General features: G+C 38.4%; 1 protein-coding gene and 1 long non-coding RNA gene across 11 annotated transcripts in view, besides 1 other annotated feature; one reads left to right on the top strand and one right to left on the bottom strand.

The window, feature by feature from the left end:
- The window catches only part of LAMB4 (laminin subunit beta 4), a 118,700-nt gene that overhangs the window by 78,096 nt on the left and 22,739 nt on the right, over positions 1-17,865 (top strand). For all 10 annotated transcript variants that reach the window (XR_927421.2, XR_927422.2, XM_011515975.2 and 7 more), the window contains exons 26-30: positions 9-169; positions 2,735-2,940; positions 4,155-4,358; positions 8,370-8,514; positions 14,671-14,878. Coding sequence is in view for 8 of the 10 variants with exons in the window: in XM_011515975.2 (XP_011514277.1) it covers positions 9-169; positions 2,735-2,940; positions 4,155-4,358; positions 8,370-8,514; positions 14,671-14,878 (924 nt within the window). In the remaining 2 variants the exon portion in view is untranslated. The remainder of the gene's footprint in view (positions 1-8; positions 170-2,734; positions 2,941-4,154; positions 4,359-8,369; positions 8,515-14,670; positions 14,879-17,865) is intronic.
- On the bottom strand, positions 3,488-7,016 carry LOC107986835 (uncharacterized). The gene is made up of 3 exons (XR_001745320.1): positions 6,418-7,016; positions 4,832-4,890; positions 3,488-3,528 (listed from the first exon to the last, which is right to left on the bottom strand). It is a non-coding gene; the product is annotated as an uncharacterized LOC107986835 (long non-coding RNA).
- Positions 17,238-17,752: an enhancer, noted in NCBI's record as "NANOG hESC enhancer chr7:107674959-107675473 (GRCh37/hg19 assembly coordinates)". NCBI's record gives its function as "activates a minimal SCP1, AML or CMV promoter by ChIP-STARR-seq in naive H9 embryonic stem cells {active_cell/tissue: H9 hESC(naive)}" and the evidence as "EXISTENCE:reporter gene assay evidence [ECO:0000049][PMID:30033119]".

Here is a 17,865-nt window from a genome sequence, read left to right as displayed (position 1 = left end):
CTCTATAGAAGACAAATCATGCAGCTAAATGAACAACTGAAAGCAGTGTATGAATTTCAAGATCTGAAAGATACAATAGAAAGAGCAAAGAATGAAGCAGACCTCTTACTTGAAGACCTTCAGGAAGAAATTGATTTGCAATCCAGTGTCCTTAATGCAAGCATTGCGGGTAAGGGAAAAATGTATTTTTGACTGTGTCTGCACAAAGTTTGATGAAATCCACAGTGCATTCCATTAGTGAGTCGTCCCCTGCTTACCACCATAGTGCCTGAGCACTTTAGAACATGCAAACACAACCATTAAAGGTATTATTTGTTCATGGATATTTCAACTTTTTAAACATCACAGAGCCTGGCTAGCATTCACTCAAAAATAACAAGTAAACAATGTCTGATATTAAACAAATGCTAACACCCAAAGTAATCTAGTGCCAAACCCATGTAAGGGGTCTTGAATAATCAACAACTTAGAAATTCTAATATGGCCATAAGCAAATGAGAGAGACATGTTTATATGCCTTTCTCGGTATAGGCCACTCCATTTTCAGTGACCATAAATGCAATGGAATGTGAGGCAAAAAAAACCCCACAATATTTCTCATAAGAGCTTTGTAAGAATGAGAGTCATGCAACATACTACACACCCTTAACTCATATTGCATAGTTCTTAAAACTGAATGTGAGCTATGCCTAAGCCAAGATAATTTGCAAGAGAAATGGAACTCTAAAGCAAAACTTTTGATTAGTTCATCTCCTATTCAAGATCATACCCCTGTTATATTTGGAAATGGACAACCTGTTACTACTGAGAGAAGCATCACTGAGTTTATTCACACCTAAGCCATCCAATTGAGAGACAGATGGAAAATATACATGAATCCATGTCAGGAAAAAACTTTGGCTGCTTTCATTGTCCTATGTATATACTCCTGTGTTTTATCTGATTTTGACCTAGAAGAGAAAAAAAAAATAGAAGGCAGGTAGGAATACCTAATTTCCCTAAAGGGATGCCTAAATTTAGTGAAACAAATTCTAGCAAAGATGTATTGATGATGTTCAATAAATGCCATGTAATGAGTAAGGAATCTACTCTGATTCCTAATCTAGAAGACAGTTCCCACTGAAAGAACTCAAAATCCATCAGAGGTCACCCCACGCCAGGTAAAATAAAGTGAAACTGCCCCCATGCTAATCCTCTCAAATTTGCAGTCCAACAGCAGTTACTGGGCTTTTTTCCAATGCCTGACATTGTGCAGTAGAAACAGGCAGATCATTACAGCAAGTCCCTACCTTTGAGTTATTTCTGTCTAATGGGGGCAGGGGACAAGAATATAAACCACTGCAAACAGCATTAAGACTGTTAGAGCATCTTCAAGCTGCTTCAAAAACAGAGTAGCAAAAACGGAATCCTTCCTGGGTTCATTAGTAAAGTCTTCAGGGAATAGGTGGCAATTGAATTATCTCCACAGGGTAGGAGAAAATCTGCCATAAAAATGAAAGAAGAAACTAATTCCAAGCAATAGGAACACTTTTTTCATGATAAGTGAAAAGCATGATACATTAAGAGTATGGTCTTATAGAACCAGAAAAGTTTGAAAGATAAGGTGTGGTTGTCTCCTGCCTGGATTATGGTTCTATAGGGAGTAAAGATCAGATCAGGACCGTGGGCCTCTGATTCCTAAAATATGGAGTTATGGTTTAAACCCCTAATATACTATAATTTACATTAAAATATACCATACATACCTTATTACTTTCACAAATTTGTATTAATAATGCAAACATAGAAAATGTAGAGAAGTGCTTAAGAACACAGGCTCTGGAGTCAAACACCCTGGATTCACATCCTGGCTTCATCTCTTACTATCAATGAGAACTTAGGCAAATAAGTTTCCTCAATAGAGCCTCAGTTTCCTTATTTGAAAATGAATATGATCATACTAATGTGCATTTCACACTGTTTTGTGAAGATTGAGGAAGAAAATTGATGGGAAGTATAGTACAGGCACCTACAAAGCACCCAACTAGCTGTTAGCTATTGTTAGCAGCCTCAACATCAGGGTTCAGGAAACCGCAGCATCAGGGTGAATCCTGCCCACAGCCTGTCTTTGTAAATACTGCTTCAGTGGAACACAACCTCACCTCTTTATTTACATACTGCCTGTAGCTGCTTTCACTCTACAATGGCAGAGGTGAGTAGTTGGAATAGAAATGCTATGGCCAGCAAAGCCTAAAACGTTAATTATTTGGCCTTTGCAGAAAAAGTTTGTCAACTCCTGCTCTATACGGTTAAGTAAATTTAGTTGGTTTATTATATTTGAGTGTATATAGGTATTCATAGTTAATATCTTATATTTGTGGAAATTATTTACAGAATATATTCATATTATCTCAATTCTCACAAATTATTATCACCAATTTACAGAGGAAGAAATGAAATATAAGAGATGAACTGATTTGCTCAAGGGTATGCCCAGGCAGTAAAGGGTGAAGCCAGGACTCACACCACATCTGTGGACTTAAATCTCAATGCCCTGTATCTATTCTATCCATATTTATTATACTATAGCTAATCCTTCCCCCATCAATTGCAAATTCAAGGAAGATGTTGAAATTTTATGGTGATAGTTGAGACCAAGACAGTAGCCAAATTATAGAATGATTATCTTAATAACTTATATATAATTTCATTTGTTTTCACAAAATTTACCTTACTTCAATTTGCATTGACGTAGACTCCTCAGAAAACATCAAGAAATATTATCACATATCATCATCTGCTGAAAAGAAAATTAATGAAACTAGTTCCACCATTAATACCTCTGCAAATACAAGGAATGACTTACTTACCATCTTAGATACACTAACCTCAAAAGGAAACTTGTCATTGGAAAGATTAAAGCAGATTAAGATACCAGATATCCAAATATTGAATGAAAAGGTAAATATTCATGATGGTAAGGTCAAAGCATTTGTGGTTTTTACTTGGTATATGAACCTCTTCAATGATATTTCCCTAGCTTACATTTTAAATTTCTTTTTCATTATATATTAGAAATATATAAATATATGTAGGTATATAAAATATATATGTTTTATTATATACTATAAAAAGCCTTATTTTTATTTAACTCAAAAATTGATCAAAGAGTAAAGATTGTGGCTTGATTATTTGATATTATTTACTATTTCTAAAACAGTACAGGCTATGAACATTTGCTCCTCTTGCCTCATTACAAGAAAAAGGCTAATTCTCTCAAAAGAATACAAAGTGCAGGCTGGGCACGGTGGCTCACGCCTGTAATTCCAGCACTTTGGGAGGCCAAGGTGGGCAGATTACTTAAGGCCAGGAGTTCGAGACCAGCCTGGCCAACATGGTGAAACCCCGTCTCTACAAAAAACAAAAATTACCTGGGGGTAGTGGCGTGCACCTGTAATCTCAGCTGCTCAGGAGGTTGAGGCAGGAGAATCGCTTGAACCTGGCAGGTGGAGGTTGCAGTGAGCAGAGATGGTGCCTCTGCACTCCAGCCTGGGCGAGAGAGCGAGACTCATCTCAATAAATAAATAAATAATTAAATAAAAAGTGAAACTCACATGTAATTCCTAAAAGTTTGACTGTTTTCTCAGAAAACCATAAATATAAAGGATGACAGACTGACACAATACTGATAAGTAATTTAGATGTTTAGTTACCTAGGAAATGTTTAATGGGTTACCCCCATGTACCAAGGATGAACAACTATTGAAGAAACATATGAATAAAGCAGTGCCTTGACTCAAGGAGCCTGGATGGCATTAGAGTTCTGACAGCCAGGCCACATGCCTGTAATCTCAGCACTTTGGGAGGCCGAGGTGGGCGGATCACCTGAGGTCAGGAGTTTGAGACCAGCCTGACCAAAATGGTGAAACCCTGTCTCTACTAAAAATACAAAAAATTAGCCAGGCGTGGTAGTGGGTGCCTGTAATCCCAGCTACTTGGGAGGCTGAGGCAGGAGAATCTCTTGAACCCAGGAGGAGAACGTTGCAGTGAGCCAAGGTCACGCTATTGCTCTCCAGCCTGGGCAACAAGAGCAAACTCCGTCTCAAAAAAAAAAAAAAAAAAAAAAAAGCTCTGACAACAAGTTGCTATTTAACGTAAATCATTTCTCTTGCAAGGTGTGCGGAGATCCAGGAAATGTGCCATGTGTGCCCTTGCCCTGTGGCGGTGCTCTCTGCACGGGCCGGAAGGGGCACAGGAAGTGTAGGGGTCCCGGCTGTCACGGCTCCCTGACCCTCTCAACGAATGCCCTCCAAAAAGCCCAGGAAGCAAAATCCATTATTCGTAATTTGGACAAACAGGTTCGTGGGTTGAAAAATCAGGTAAATATCTTCTCTTGCTTTATTTGTAAAGTTATAGCAATAAAGAAGCAGACTGCTTAAAATTTATAAAACTGCCATATAACTTCCAAGTGAGAAGATAGATTCTAGATAGTTGGTGTTCTTGTGCCTGGAAATATAGGATAAAATTACAGATGATATGAATGTAGATTTAGAAACAGAGGTTAATATTGATATATTTCCTGTTATATATATGTATACAGTTGACCCTTGAACAACATAGGGGTTAGGGGCACCAAGCCTCCACTCTACAATTGAAAATTTATGTGTAACTTTTGACTCCCCCAAAATTTAACTGCTAATAGCCCACTGTTGACTGGAAGCCTTACCCATAACTTAAACAGTCAATTAACATATATTTATGTATGTATTATATATCATAATATAACCATAAAGTAAGCTAGAAAAAAGAGAATATTATCAGAAAAATCATCAGGAAGAGAAAATATACTTACTATTCATTGAGAGGAAATAGATCATCATTAAGGTCTTCATCGTCATCACATTGAGTAGGCTGAGGAGGAGGAAGAAGAGGGGTTGGTCTTGCTGTCTCAGAGATGGCAGGGGTGGAGGAGGTGGAAGGGGAGGCAGAAGAGGCAGGCACACTCAGTGTAAGTTTTATTGAAAAAAATTTGTATATAAGTGGGCGTGTGCAGTTCCAACCTGTGTCATTCAAAAGTCAAGTGTGTACGTGTGTGTGTAAAGAGAGAGAGAAAGAATTCAAGATACATTATCATAGGTCATAGACTCGTGTGGACATGTTTGTTTACAGCAAAACCTACATAGAAATGTCAAGACTCCAAGCATTAAAAATTTGGAAACAGGCCAGGAGTAGTGGGTCACGCCTATAATCCTAGCACTTTGGGAGGCCAAGGCAGGAGGATCCCTTGAGCCCAGGGGTTCAAGACCTGCCTGGGAAACACAGGGAGGCCGTATCTCTACTTTATTTAAAATAATAATAATAATAATAAAAGAAATATATAAATTAATTTTTAAAAGGGTTGAAAACTATAGATCTCTCAAAGCAAAGAATAATTTTTCATAAATTCATAAATATGTAAGGGTATATTTGAAAACCTACTAAATATACAAATTGTAATGTTAGAATTTAATGTTAGAAAATAGCTTAATAGGAATTAAACCATACCTTGAACTCATTCCCCTGTTGATAGACTGAGAAAGTTGTTTTAACATTTAAGTACCTTATAATTAAATCTATAATGATTTGAAATAATTTCATTTACTTTTCTGGTCATTTATAAATGAGCATCATTTTTAATTACCTAGTTTTCTTTAGACTTTTTTTTTGAGAATGCATTTTATTCTGTGGTTTGAAAACAGGATAGTGGTGTGCTCCCCAATCTGTTTCTTTTTTGACAATACGCAAAGAGCCTCTGACAAAGAAGAAAAAGCTTTTAAAGAGCTGAATTTTTTACCACTATATGTTGAATATTGTATCACTAAGCATTCTTGTTTGCAAGCAAAAAAAGCCCACTCCTGGCCGGGTGCAGTGGCTCACACCTGTAATCCCAGCACTTTGGGAGGCCGATGCAGGTGGATCACCTGAAGTCAGGAGTTCGAGACCAGCCTGGCCAACATGGTGAAACCCCATCTCTACTAAAAAATACAAATACAAAAAAAAAAAAAAAAAAATTTAGCCAGGAGTGGTGGTGCATGCCTGTAATCCCAGCTACTCGGGAGACTGAGGCAGGAGAATTGCTGGGACCCGGGAGGCAGAGGTTGCAGTGAACCGAGATCATGCCATTGCACTCCAGCCTGCACCGACAACAGTGAGACCTCGTTTAAAACAAAACCAAAAACAAAAAGACCCACTCCTGAACAAGAAGGAAATATATGTAAGGACATCTGGGCCTCAAAATCCAGTAAAGGATAGAGGGCCAAGCTTGGGAATGGGGTGAGAACCACAGCCAAGATACACACACACACACATGCACACACACACACCCCCTATATCCTTGAGCAAGCATCTGATTAGCCAATCTGGAACATATCCCTACATAAATATTGAAACTTTACTTACATAGTCACAATTCTGTATTGCCACATCATTTTCCATTCACATGTCGTTCTTCATTGCTTTAACAAATATCCACCTACTGTGTGCCAGGCATCCATCTACAAGTTGAGAATACAGCAGCAAACATAGCAATGTAAATCCTGGTCTTATGTCCCAGTGCTTAAAACACACCTTCATTGTTTAATGTAATTTTAAACTATTATATTGCTCCTTCTCAAAAAAATAGAAACCTCACCCACATTTAAAGGAGTCCTGATTGCCACTTGATCATATCATTAAGTCAATAATATGTTAAGCTATCAGTGTTAAAAAATTATCCTTGAAATCCATATTAGCAGAAGCTAGTTTAATCAGCACATAAATGGAGAACTGGAAAACGATGAGAGGGGATGTCATGTTGATGAAATGGTGTGCTATTTTCCTCTTGATTAGAAGGAGGAAGAGTGCCAGAAGAGATTGTGAGAGAATTCTCAGGAGTCAGTTGTGACAGAAGATGGATTGCAGAGGGATGTTTTAAGAGTGAAGTAATTTCTTGATCTCTTTCTTTCTGAATATGGTATCAACTAATCTAGCCTGAGATTTCCTCTGTATCACTTGGTGCTTTGCTGCCTAGGGTATTTTATTTCTGGAATTCTCATTTTACTGCAATCCATTCTTACTGCTATCCATTTTAAAGCTAAGAAAGTTCTAGAGAATTAAGTAACAACTCTGAAAAAAAAGATACACATTTTTAATCATGTAAATACTTTTTTATTTCATCATTTGCCAGTGACTATAATTTAAATCCTTTTCTTAAAAATCTGTATGGCTCAAATTAAGCAGGCTCCTTTTGTGGGGAAATAAAGGGAATTTTTTTTCTTTTTTTTCTTTTCTTTTCTTTTTTTTTTTTTTTTTTTGAGACAAGAATCTCACTCTGTCTGGCCCAGGCTGGAGTGTAATGGTGCGATCTCAGCTCACTGCAACCTCCGCCTCCTGGATTCAAGCGATTCTCCTGCCTCAGCCTCCCCAGTAGCTGGAATTACAGGCATGCGCCACCATGCCTGGCTAATTTTGGCATTTTTAGTAGAGATGGGGTTTCACCATGTTGGCCAGGCTGGCCTTGAACTCCTAACCTCAAGTGATCTGTCTGCCTTGGCCTCCCAAAGTGCTGGGGATTACAGGCGTGAGCCACCATGCCCAGCGGATTTTATTTTTTCCTAATTATGTTTGATCCTAACTAGCCCTACTTCTGTCACAATTAATTTATTCAATAAAGCTCAGCTTGTTGGCAATATTGTCCTATTGCTTCTGGGTTTTTTCTCTCTCTCTAATTTGTTGGAATCCCAAGAAAAAGTCCATGACCTTTCTCAGATCACACAATTAAGAATTTGCACTTCTAGTTTGCTAGCCTATTATTCCTGTCATTCCTCTACCAAGAGTACAAAGTGTCTGGAATTTATCTTTGTAGCCCACTCTCAGTTCAAGCTCATTTATTAAGAGGAAGAATGCTTTTTTGTTAGTTTTCAAAGAAAGTACATTACTTGAATTTGAGGAATGTTTAGAAGAGTAACATTTTAACTTACATAAAAGAAAATGCTCTCAACCTATTAAACGTGATGACCATGGCAGGTAAGTAGTCCTATGTAATTTATGGGAAAGTTGTTGGTATTAAAGAATGCTAAAGCCCCATTAAAACAAAATTTGTGTTTTAGACTTATATTAGAAAAATTCGTTAGTGCTAAGTCAGTAATGTTCTAAAAGATAAATTAATGATAAATTAAAGAAAACATGATAATGAGAAGAGATAATAATCACCTTGTAAAAGATTCCTTGCAAATGAATCTATGGTTTATCTAGACTTTTATTTAGTTTTTAGTGACAGTTTTATTTGGTCCAGCTAAGTAATTAAACATCAAAGAACATGACTTTGTTGAGTATATTGTCGAGTATTCTTCATTGTGTTTTTCTCATTCCAGATCGAAAGTATAAGTGAACAGGCAGAAGTCTCCAAAAACAATGCCTTACAGCTGAGGGAAAAACTGGGAAATATAAGAAACCAAAGTGACTCTGAAGAAGAAAACATCAATCTTTTCATCAAAAAAGTGAAAAACTTTTTGTTAGGTAATTTAAAAATATATATTAGGACTAGTTTTTGTTTTTTTCCCTTTTTAATGTATAGTCAAACATCATACGTGAACCCAGGAGGCGGAGCTTGCAGTGAGCCGAGATCGCGCCACTGCACTCCAGCCTGGGCGACAGAGCGAGACTCCGTCTCAAAAAAAAAAAAAAAAAAAAAAAAAAAAAAAAAAAAAAAAAAAAAAAAAAAACATCATAGCCAGTTCCAAATTATATTAATTGGAAATGACAAGCCTAAATCAGAAAAATGATATACCCTTTGGTTTTTAATTCCTTAATGAGAATAATCTCAAAATACCAACTCTGTGCCAAAAAATTACAGCTTTCTGTAAAAGATAAATGTGGTAACAAATGCTAGAATTTAGTTAAAATTCCAAACACATGAACTTTGTGTTTAAAGTTATTTTATGTTTTTTTTAAGGAAAGTTCAACATGACAATTCTATCAGATTCCCTAACATCAGGATTCAGTAATTTTCTTTGCTGACAGAAATGATATGAGATCAAGATATGCTGAATTTTAATTAGATATCAAATATCATAGGGAGTTGGCATCTAAAAAAAATTATTAGCTATTATTGACTATTTTCCAAGTCTTCTTTTGTTGGTTCTCTGTGGCTGACCAAAAGTAGCTGATTTATTGTACATTATGCCTTACTTTGGGAGAGGCTCATTTTAAACTCCAGAGAATTAGTAAAGATTAAAAAAATCAAGTACTGAAGCTGGAAATTGACCTGAAACCTTACTCTCTGTACACATACACACACACACACACACACACACACACACACACACACACAGAGATTGAGAGAGAGAGATGATTAATGTGAAGAGGCTTTATTTTCCATAACCATTTTTCAAATTCAATAATTTAACATTTTATACATGAATTGGCAATTGGAGCATCCATTACAATCTCTTCAATCACTTCATTATTCTACTTAATATGTGTGAGAGACCCCTGTGGCCAAGGTTTTTTGGGTTTGTTTTTTTGTTGTTGTTGTTTGTTTTTCCTGTCTCAATATTTCTAGAAATTGAATTGGCAGTTTCTAGCTGTTGTTTTCAAGATAAACAAAAATCAGGTGGAAATTACCTTTGACAAAAATAGTCAGTAAAAACGAATGGGGTAGAATCAGTCTACTGGACATGTTGTTGATTCAAAAGCAAACTTTCAATGAGTAAGCTGGATGAATCTGTATTGACTGGACCCAGGTCTAGGAATAGGCTGAACTAAGAAGGCACCAAAACAAACATCAAAATCAAAGTTGCTAAACTAATTGCATGAACTGGTAGAATAGGGTCTACATGACCTCCTTTCTATCTAGTTTGCTGGGTCATAGAGCCTGTCCTCTTATTACTCTTCATTGCTACTGAATACGTTTCTAATAAATATTTTACTTTAATTAACTTGAGGAATTGAAAGAAATCTATGTCCAGATTATTAAAACTAAAGGCATAAAGAACTATCATTACAACTAGGCATAGAGAAAAATCCTGTTTCTTACAAGAAACTTCTTACTGCTCAGTGTCCCTAGAGCCCTGGTGACCAGGAAGCTTTCATGCCTTGCAATGCCCTCCACCGACCTCTTGCTTCTCTTTGCCTGGCTATAAAGCCCCAATAAAATTATCATTACATTAGATGATGACCACACTATTCAGCTCTTGTTTGACCACCCTAATATTTTTCTTGAAATCTGAATGCCTTATTAACAAAGGGATGTATCACTTCTCCTGAAAGTTCTATATATAAAAATTTGAATCTATAATCTCATAATAAATACAAATAACTATTTGATGAATGAATAAGTGATTGAAGGAACTTCACTTTTCATTCGAACTTTTTTTTTAACTTTTAAGTTCAGAGGTACATGTGCAGGTTTGTAAACTCGAGTCACAGGGGTTTGTTGTACAGATTATTTCATCACCCAAGTATTAAGCTTAGTACTCATTAGTTATTTCTCCTGATCTTCTCCTTCCTCCCACCCTCCACCTTCCAAAAGGCCCCAGTGTGTGTTGTTCCCCTCTATGTGTCCATGTGTTCTCATCATTTAGCTCCCATTTATAAGTGAGAACATGCGGTATTTGGTTTTCTGCTCCTGTGTTAGTTTGCTAAGGATAATGGCCTCCAGCTCTATCCATGTTCTGGCAAAGGATAAGATCTCATTCTTTTTTATGTCTGCATAGTATCCATGGCGTATATGTACAACATTTTCTTTATCCAGTCTATCATTGATGGGCATATAGGTTGATTCCATGTCTTTGCTCCTGTGAATAATGCTGCAATGAACATGCATGTGAGTGTGTCTTTATGATAGAATGATGTCTAACCCTTTGGGTATATACCCAGTAATGAGATTGCTAGGTCAAATTGTAATCTTTTTTTAGGTCTTTGAGGAATCACCACACTGTTTTCCACAATGGTTGAATTAATTTACACCCCCACCAACACTGTATAAGTGTTTCTTTCTCTCTGCAATCTCATCAGCACCTGTTATTTTTTGACTTTTTAATAATCACCATTCAGACTGGTGTGAGATGGTACCTCATTGTGGTTTTGATTTGCATTTCTCTAATGATCAGTGATGTTGAGCTTTTTTTCATATGCTTGTTGGCCCCATGGATGTCTTCTTTTGAAAAGTATCTGTTTATGTCCTTTGCCCACTTTTTAAGGGGGTTGTTTTTTTCTTGTAGATTTAAGTTCCTTATAGATGCTGGATATTAGACCTTTGTCAGATGCATAGTTTGCAAAAATTTTCTCCCATTCTGTAGGTTGTGTTTACTCTGTTGATAGTTTCTTTTGCTGAGCAGAAGCTCTTTAATTAGATTCCATTTCTCAGTTTTTGCTTTTGTTGTAGTCGCTTGTGGTGTCTTTATCATGAAATCTTTGCCCATGCCTGTGTCCTGAATAATATTGTCTAGGTTGCCTTCCAAGGTTTTTATACTTTTGGGTTTTACATTTTAGTCTTTAATCCATCTTGAGTTAATTTTCATATAAGATGTAAGGAGGGGGTCCAGTTTCAGCGTTCTGCATATGGCTAGCCAGTTATCCCACACCATTTATTGAAGAGGGAGTCTTTTCCCCATTTCTTGGTTTTGTTGACTTTGTCAAAGATCAGATAGTTCTAGATGTGTGGCCTTATTTCTGGACTCTCTTTTCAGTTCCATTCATCTATGTGTCTGTTTTTTGTACTAGCACCATGCTGTTTTGGTTACTGTAGCCCTGTATTACAGCTTGAAGTCAGATAGCACGATGTCTCTAGCTGTGTTCATTTTGCTTAGGATTGCCTTGGCTAGTCGGGCTGTTTTTTTGTTCCATATGAACTTTAAAATATATTTTCTAGTTCTGTGAAGAATGTCATTGGTAGTTTGATAAGAATAACCTTGAATCTGCACATTGTTTTGGGCAGTATAGCCATTTTAATGATATTGATTCTTCCTATCTATGAGCATGGAATCTTTTTCCATTTGTTTGAGTCACCTCTGGATTCTTTGCGCAGTGTTTTGTAGTTCTCCCTGTAGAGATCTTTCACCTCCCTGGTTAGCTGTATTCTTAGGTATTTTATTCTTTTTGTGGCAATTGTGAATGAGATTGCCTTCCTGGCTTGGCTCTTGGCTTGACTGTTGCTGATGTATAGGAATGCTAGTGATTTTTGTACATTGATTTTGTATCCTGAGACCTTACTGAAGTCATCAGCTTAAGGAGCTTTTGGGCCAAGGCTACGGGGTTTTCTAGATATAAGATCATGCCATCTGCAAACAGGGATAGTTTGACTTCCTCTCTTCCTATTTGGATACGCTTTGTTCTTTCTTTTGCCTGATTGCTCTGGCCAGGACTTCCAATACTATGTTGAACAGGAGTGGTAAGAGAGGGCATCCTTGTCTTGTGCTGGTTTTCAAGGAGAATGCTTCAGCTTTTGCCCATTCAGTATGATGTACTAGAACTTTTTTAATTAAAAAGCTACTGTTTCTGGCCGGGCATGGAGGCTCACGCCTGTAATCCCAGCACTTTGGGAGGCCGAGGCAGGCGGATCACATGAGTTCAGGAGTGTGAGACCAGCCTGGCCAACGTGGCAAAACCCTGTCTCCACTAAAAATACAAAAATCAGCTGGATGTGGTGGTGCGTGCCTATGATCCCAGCTATTTGGGAGGCTGAGACAGGGGAATCACTTGAACCCAGGAGGCAGAGGTTGCAGTGAGCCGAGATCGCACCACTGCACTCCAGCCTGAGCGATACAGCGAGACACCATCTCAAAAAAAAAAAAAAAAGAAAGAAAGTACTGTTTCTTTAAAGAGCCAACTCCCTGATTCTATTTAAAATGTCATTTTACTTCCCTCACAAAAAAATTCTTGTCACATTGCTTCAAAAATATTACAGAAAGTAAAATATTTCATTTATATTAAGAAAAATAGCTAAAGCAAAATGACTACAAGCAGAATATATATTCATGTCATGTCACTCAAATGCTGAAAATCATTTTTGGCTCCCACTGTTCTCTGAACAGTGTAAGTTCCTTAGCCTCTGACACAGGGACTTGTGCCATCTGCTCCCAGCCCTTCTAAGCACACTACTCTCCTGCCAAGAGTGATCCATGCACTGTTTCTTGTACCACCCTGAGCTTTAGCTCCTGTAATTCTCTCAGTTTAGAATATCTCTTACCCCTCCCCACACCCCACAGTCTCCACAAGTTTAACCTGCTGTCCTCCCAGGTCTAGTTTCAATGCATCTGAAGTCCTTCCTGGAGTATTTTCTCCTTCCTCTGAACCCCATAGCATTTGCCTTATATTGATCACTTCTGTTCCTGTGTGATCAATATTTGTATATAATGACTTATAGGTCCTCACCTGACGGCAAGCCCCCTGAGGATAAGATCCTTGTCTAGTTCATCTCTAGCTTCCCTATGGGAATTGTAGGTGTTCACTAAGTAGCTGGAGAGTGACAAATGGCTTTGCTGTAACACAGGAGTATCCAATCTTTTGGCTTCCCTGGGCCACACTGGAAGAAGAATTGTCTTGAGCCACACATAAAATACACTAACACTAACGATGGCTGATGAGCTAAAAATAAAAATAAAATCACACACAAAAAATCTCACAATGTTTTAAGAAAGGTTACAAATTTGTGTTGGGCCACATTCAAAGCCGTCCTGGGCCACATGTGGCCCCTGGGCTGTGGGTCGAACAAGCTTGCTCTAACAGTTCATCTTACACTTTAGTTCTCAATAGGGGCCAAATTTACTTTTCTGGAAAGTAGAGCATGGATGTATTTGAAAGTTTCTTTGGGGGGCACAGTGGCTCATGCCTGTATCCCCGCACTTTGGGAGGGCAAGGTGGGTGGATCAGGAGGTCAGGAGATCGAGACCATCCTGGCCAACATGGTGAAACCCCATCTCTACTAAAAATACAAAAAAAATTAGCTGGGCATGGTGGTGCATACCTGTAATCCCAGCTACTCAGGAGGCTGAGGCAGGAGAATCGCTTGAACCAGGAAGTCAGAGGTTGCAGTAAGCCGAGATTGTGCCACCACTGCACTCCAGCCTGGTGACAGAGTGAGACTCTGTCTCAAAAAAAAAAAAGTTTCTTTATAACATGCTACTAACATGTTCCTTTACTCTGTATTGTCTCACTCCAATCCCAGAATAGGCCTCTGAGTTGTAGCATCAGGTATAGTTACCCAATTACATAGATGAGCAAAAATTGTGAGACTTTTTAATGTCATGGAGGACCAGAATCCAGTTTTGTTGACTTCAAACGCAGAGCTTCTCCAGTGTCTCATTCATTGTGCTTAAATCTTCATGACAGGTATCTAAACATGTTAATTGCTTTTGAGTATGTACTTATAATAAATCATTCTCAGGACATTTTGTAGAATACACACAATGTTCCAAGTCTTTAGTATTTTGTTTTTCCAACAAGCACTTGTTCAGCAAGTATTCAGCACTCAGTGAGCACTGTTTCTTCCAGAGAGAAGGGACAGCTGAGGATGAAGAAGAATCTATAGGAAGCTACAATCTAATCCCTGTATTCTAGGGGCACATAATCAAGTGCAAGTGCATTTGGCTGAGACATCATTGTGGTTATACTTTTAAGATACAGTGTTTGTTAAGGAGACATGATTACCTAAAACCCTGCTTCTTATTTAAGAGGAAAACGTGCCTCCAGAAGACATCGAGAAGGTTGCGAATGGTGTGCTTGACATTCACCTACCAATTCCATCCCAAAATCTAACCGATGAACTTGTCAAAATACAGAAACATATGCAACTCTGTGAGGATTACAGGACAGATGAAAACAGGTTAAATGAAGAAGCAGATGGAGCCCAAAAGCTTTTGGTGAAGGCCAAAGCAGCTGAGTAAGTACTGTATTAATATTCTTATCTTGCTCTAACAGACCATCTGCTGAAAGGACATCAGGAAAATGTTTGCCTAGGGATCTATAGCATTCAAATGAAATTACCTTCTGATAGTTCAGTGCCCAAGTTGAGGGCTGAGCTCTCTTTGGAGATTCCCCGGGAAGCTGAGTGACTCGGTGACAGGGTTCAGGGTTGTTTTCTTCCTGTTTTCTTAGACTCAAAATGCCTTTCCAGTGGCCTGATACCTTTTTATACCAATGCATACCAATAAATGTGCAATACTCATTATATGCCAATACTTTAACAGGTGGTTGGAATATTGGTATAGTTTTTCCCTTATTTATCTATGTTTGGTATTTTCTAAGTTTACTACACTAAGCAGTACTTTGAAATCAAAATTATTTTTTAAAGTCTGTCTGATATTTCACTTCCTCAGTATATTCTCAGTAAAAAGATATTAGGATGGTGCAAAAGGAATTGCGGTTTTTGCCATTGAAAATAATGGCAAAAACCGCAATTCCTTTTGCACCAACCCAATATAATGATGAGGAACAGAACGGACACTAGAGCTCCAGGAGTACTGCAAGATGAAAATGATATCTATGGTATACAGAGTTAACTAACTCTTGCCTTTTGTCCTGTTGACTTAGCCAACCAAAAAAGAAAAGCCAGGTTGATGTTTTTATGAGCATGGGGTGCTGTGGGTCAGGGTTACAGGATCAGTTAGGTGGTAGTATCATCAACACCCACCATCACTGAGATCTGAGCCATTGTCACTGTCTCATCATCCACGTGTATAAACGAAGTGCACCAGATTCATCCAAAAGTCCAACCCCTTCTAGGTTTAATATTTAAAACGAGGAAGATTAACTGCACAGCAATTACTTAAAAGATTAAGTAGGCCGGGCACGGTGGCTCACGCCTGTAATCCCAGCACTTTAGGAGGCTGAGGCGGGCAGATCACCTGCGGTCAGGAATTCGAGACCAGCCTGACCAACAGGGAGAAACGCTGTCTTTCCTAAAAATACAAAATTTGCCGGGTGTAGTGGTGCATGCCTGTAATCCTAGCTACTTGGGAGGCTGAGGAGGAGAATCACTTGAACTGAGGAGGTGGAGGTTGCAGTGAGCCAAGATTGCGCCGTTGCACTCCAGCCTGGGCAACAAAATCGAAACTCCGTCTCAAAAAAAAAAAATCAAGTAATCACACAGCAATTAAAAGTGATACTGATGGGCTGGGGGAAGCGGCTCACGACTATAATCCCAGTGCTTTGGGAGGCCGAGGCAGGTGGATCACTTGAGGCTAGGAGTTAGAGACCAGCCTGGCCAACATGGTGAAAACCCGTCTCTACTAAAAATACAAAAATTAGCCGGTGTGGTGGCATGCACCTGTAATCCCAGCTACTCGGGAGGCTGAGACAGAGAACTGATTGAACTTGAACCTGGGAGGCAGAGGCTGCAGTGAGCTGAGACTGCACCACTGAACTCTAGCCTGGGCAACAAGAGCGAGACACCATCTAAAAAAAAAAAAAAAAGTTGATAAAAGATGTTTAATAACAGGCAGAGATTCTTATATTGCAATGGTAATGCTTTTTAAAAAGCAGGTAACATCCAAACTGAACAGGAAGTTGAAAATAAAAAGCAGGTAACAATCTATACATGAAAGAGGATCTTAATTATGAAAATAAAAAATTTTGCTACAATATCCTAACATTTTAAAAGATGGCAAGATTACTGGTATTTTTTCCCCTTCTTACGTTTTTTTTTCTTTTTTTTTTTTTTTTTTGGTACTCTCTAAATTTGCTATAATAAGCAGTACATTGAAAATCTTTTTTTTTTTTTTTCTTTTGAGACAGGGTCTCATTCTGTCATCCAGGCTGGAGTGCAGTGGCACGATCTCAGCTCACTGCAACCTCCGCCTCCCAGATTCAAGTGATTCTCATGCCTCAGCCTCCCAAGTAGCTGGGATTATAGGCATGCACCACTACACCCAACTAATTTTTTGCATTTTTAGTAGAGATGGGGTTTCACTATATTGGCCAGGCTGGTCTCGAACTCCTGACCTCAAGTGATCCACCTGCCTCAGCCTCCCAAAGTCCTGAGATTACAGGCATGAGCCACCACGCCTGGCCTGCAGTCGTAAATTAAAAATCTAAAGGAAAAAATAATATAAGAAAAAGATAATGGTGGCAGGGAATAGAAAAAATGGACACTGGTACCCTGGGAATGTTACAGAAATGAAATGGTGGTGGCGGTGGGATGATGAGGAGGGAAGGCTCCTGAAGGTTAGAAAGGGAAACAGAGATTACCATTGGAGGAAAGGATAGGCTGGGTGGTAAAGGGAATATTTTGCAATTTAGCTAACTCTACTGTGGGCACACTCATTTCTAATGATGCTTCTGCAAAGGTCTGTCTGATAGTTCACTCCCTCGGTACATTCTTCTCAAGGTGGTCTTGAGCCCACAGATCTAAGTATTTGGTGATTGTTGACTTGAGGTGAGTTCCTTTCTGCAGAAAGACTGTTATCACTTGGAATGCTTGTGATTTTAACCTTGGGCTTCTTAGTGGCTGGAATGTCAGTGAAGCTTAGCTAACTCTGAATAAACAAGCCTAAAAATGCAGGGCCTGTAGTCCTCTCTTTGCTCTCTGTGGGGCCTCTGGACCCTCCCAACCCCCACTCCAATAGAGATTGAGAAAGTGTAGCTTACATTTGAGACATCAGGGAAACTGGAATTCACGGGATAGTTTTTATGTGCAAAGATTGATAGTTATATCACCCCAAACCTGTATCCTTAATTTCCATATTTAACAAAATATATATCCACTGGCTATGAATATATACGTGTGTGGGGTTTTTTTTATTGGCATTTAAATATACCTATTTCTCAAAATGAAGACTTCAGCACTTTCTCTTGTTTAAGAGTAATTTAAATTTACTTAATAATTCAGTAAAGTATTTGGTTGAGTCAAATGAACTCTCTCAAGGTGAA

This window comes from Homo sapiens, chromosome 7, assembly GCF_000001405.40.
Source record: "Homo sapiens chromosome 7, GRCh38.p14 Primary Assembly".
Lineage (NCBI taxonomy): Eukaryota > Metazoa > Chordata > Mammalia > Primates > Hominidae > Homo > Homo sapiens.
This window is presented reverse-complemented; position numbering and strand designations above follow the sequence as displayed.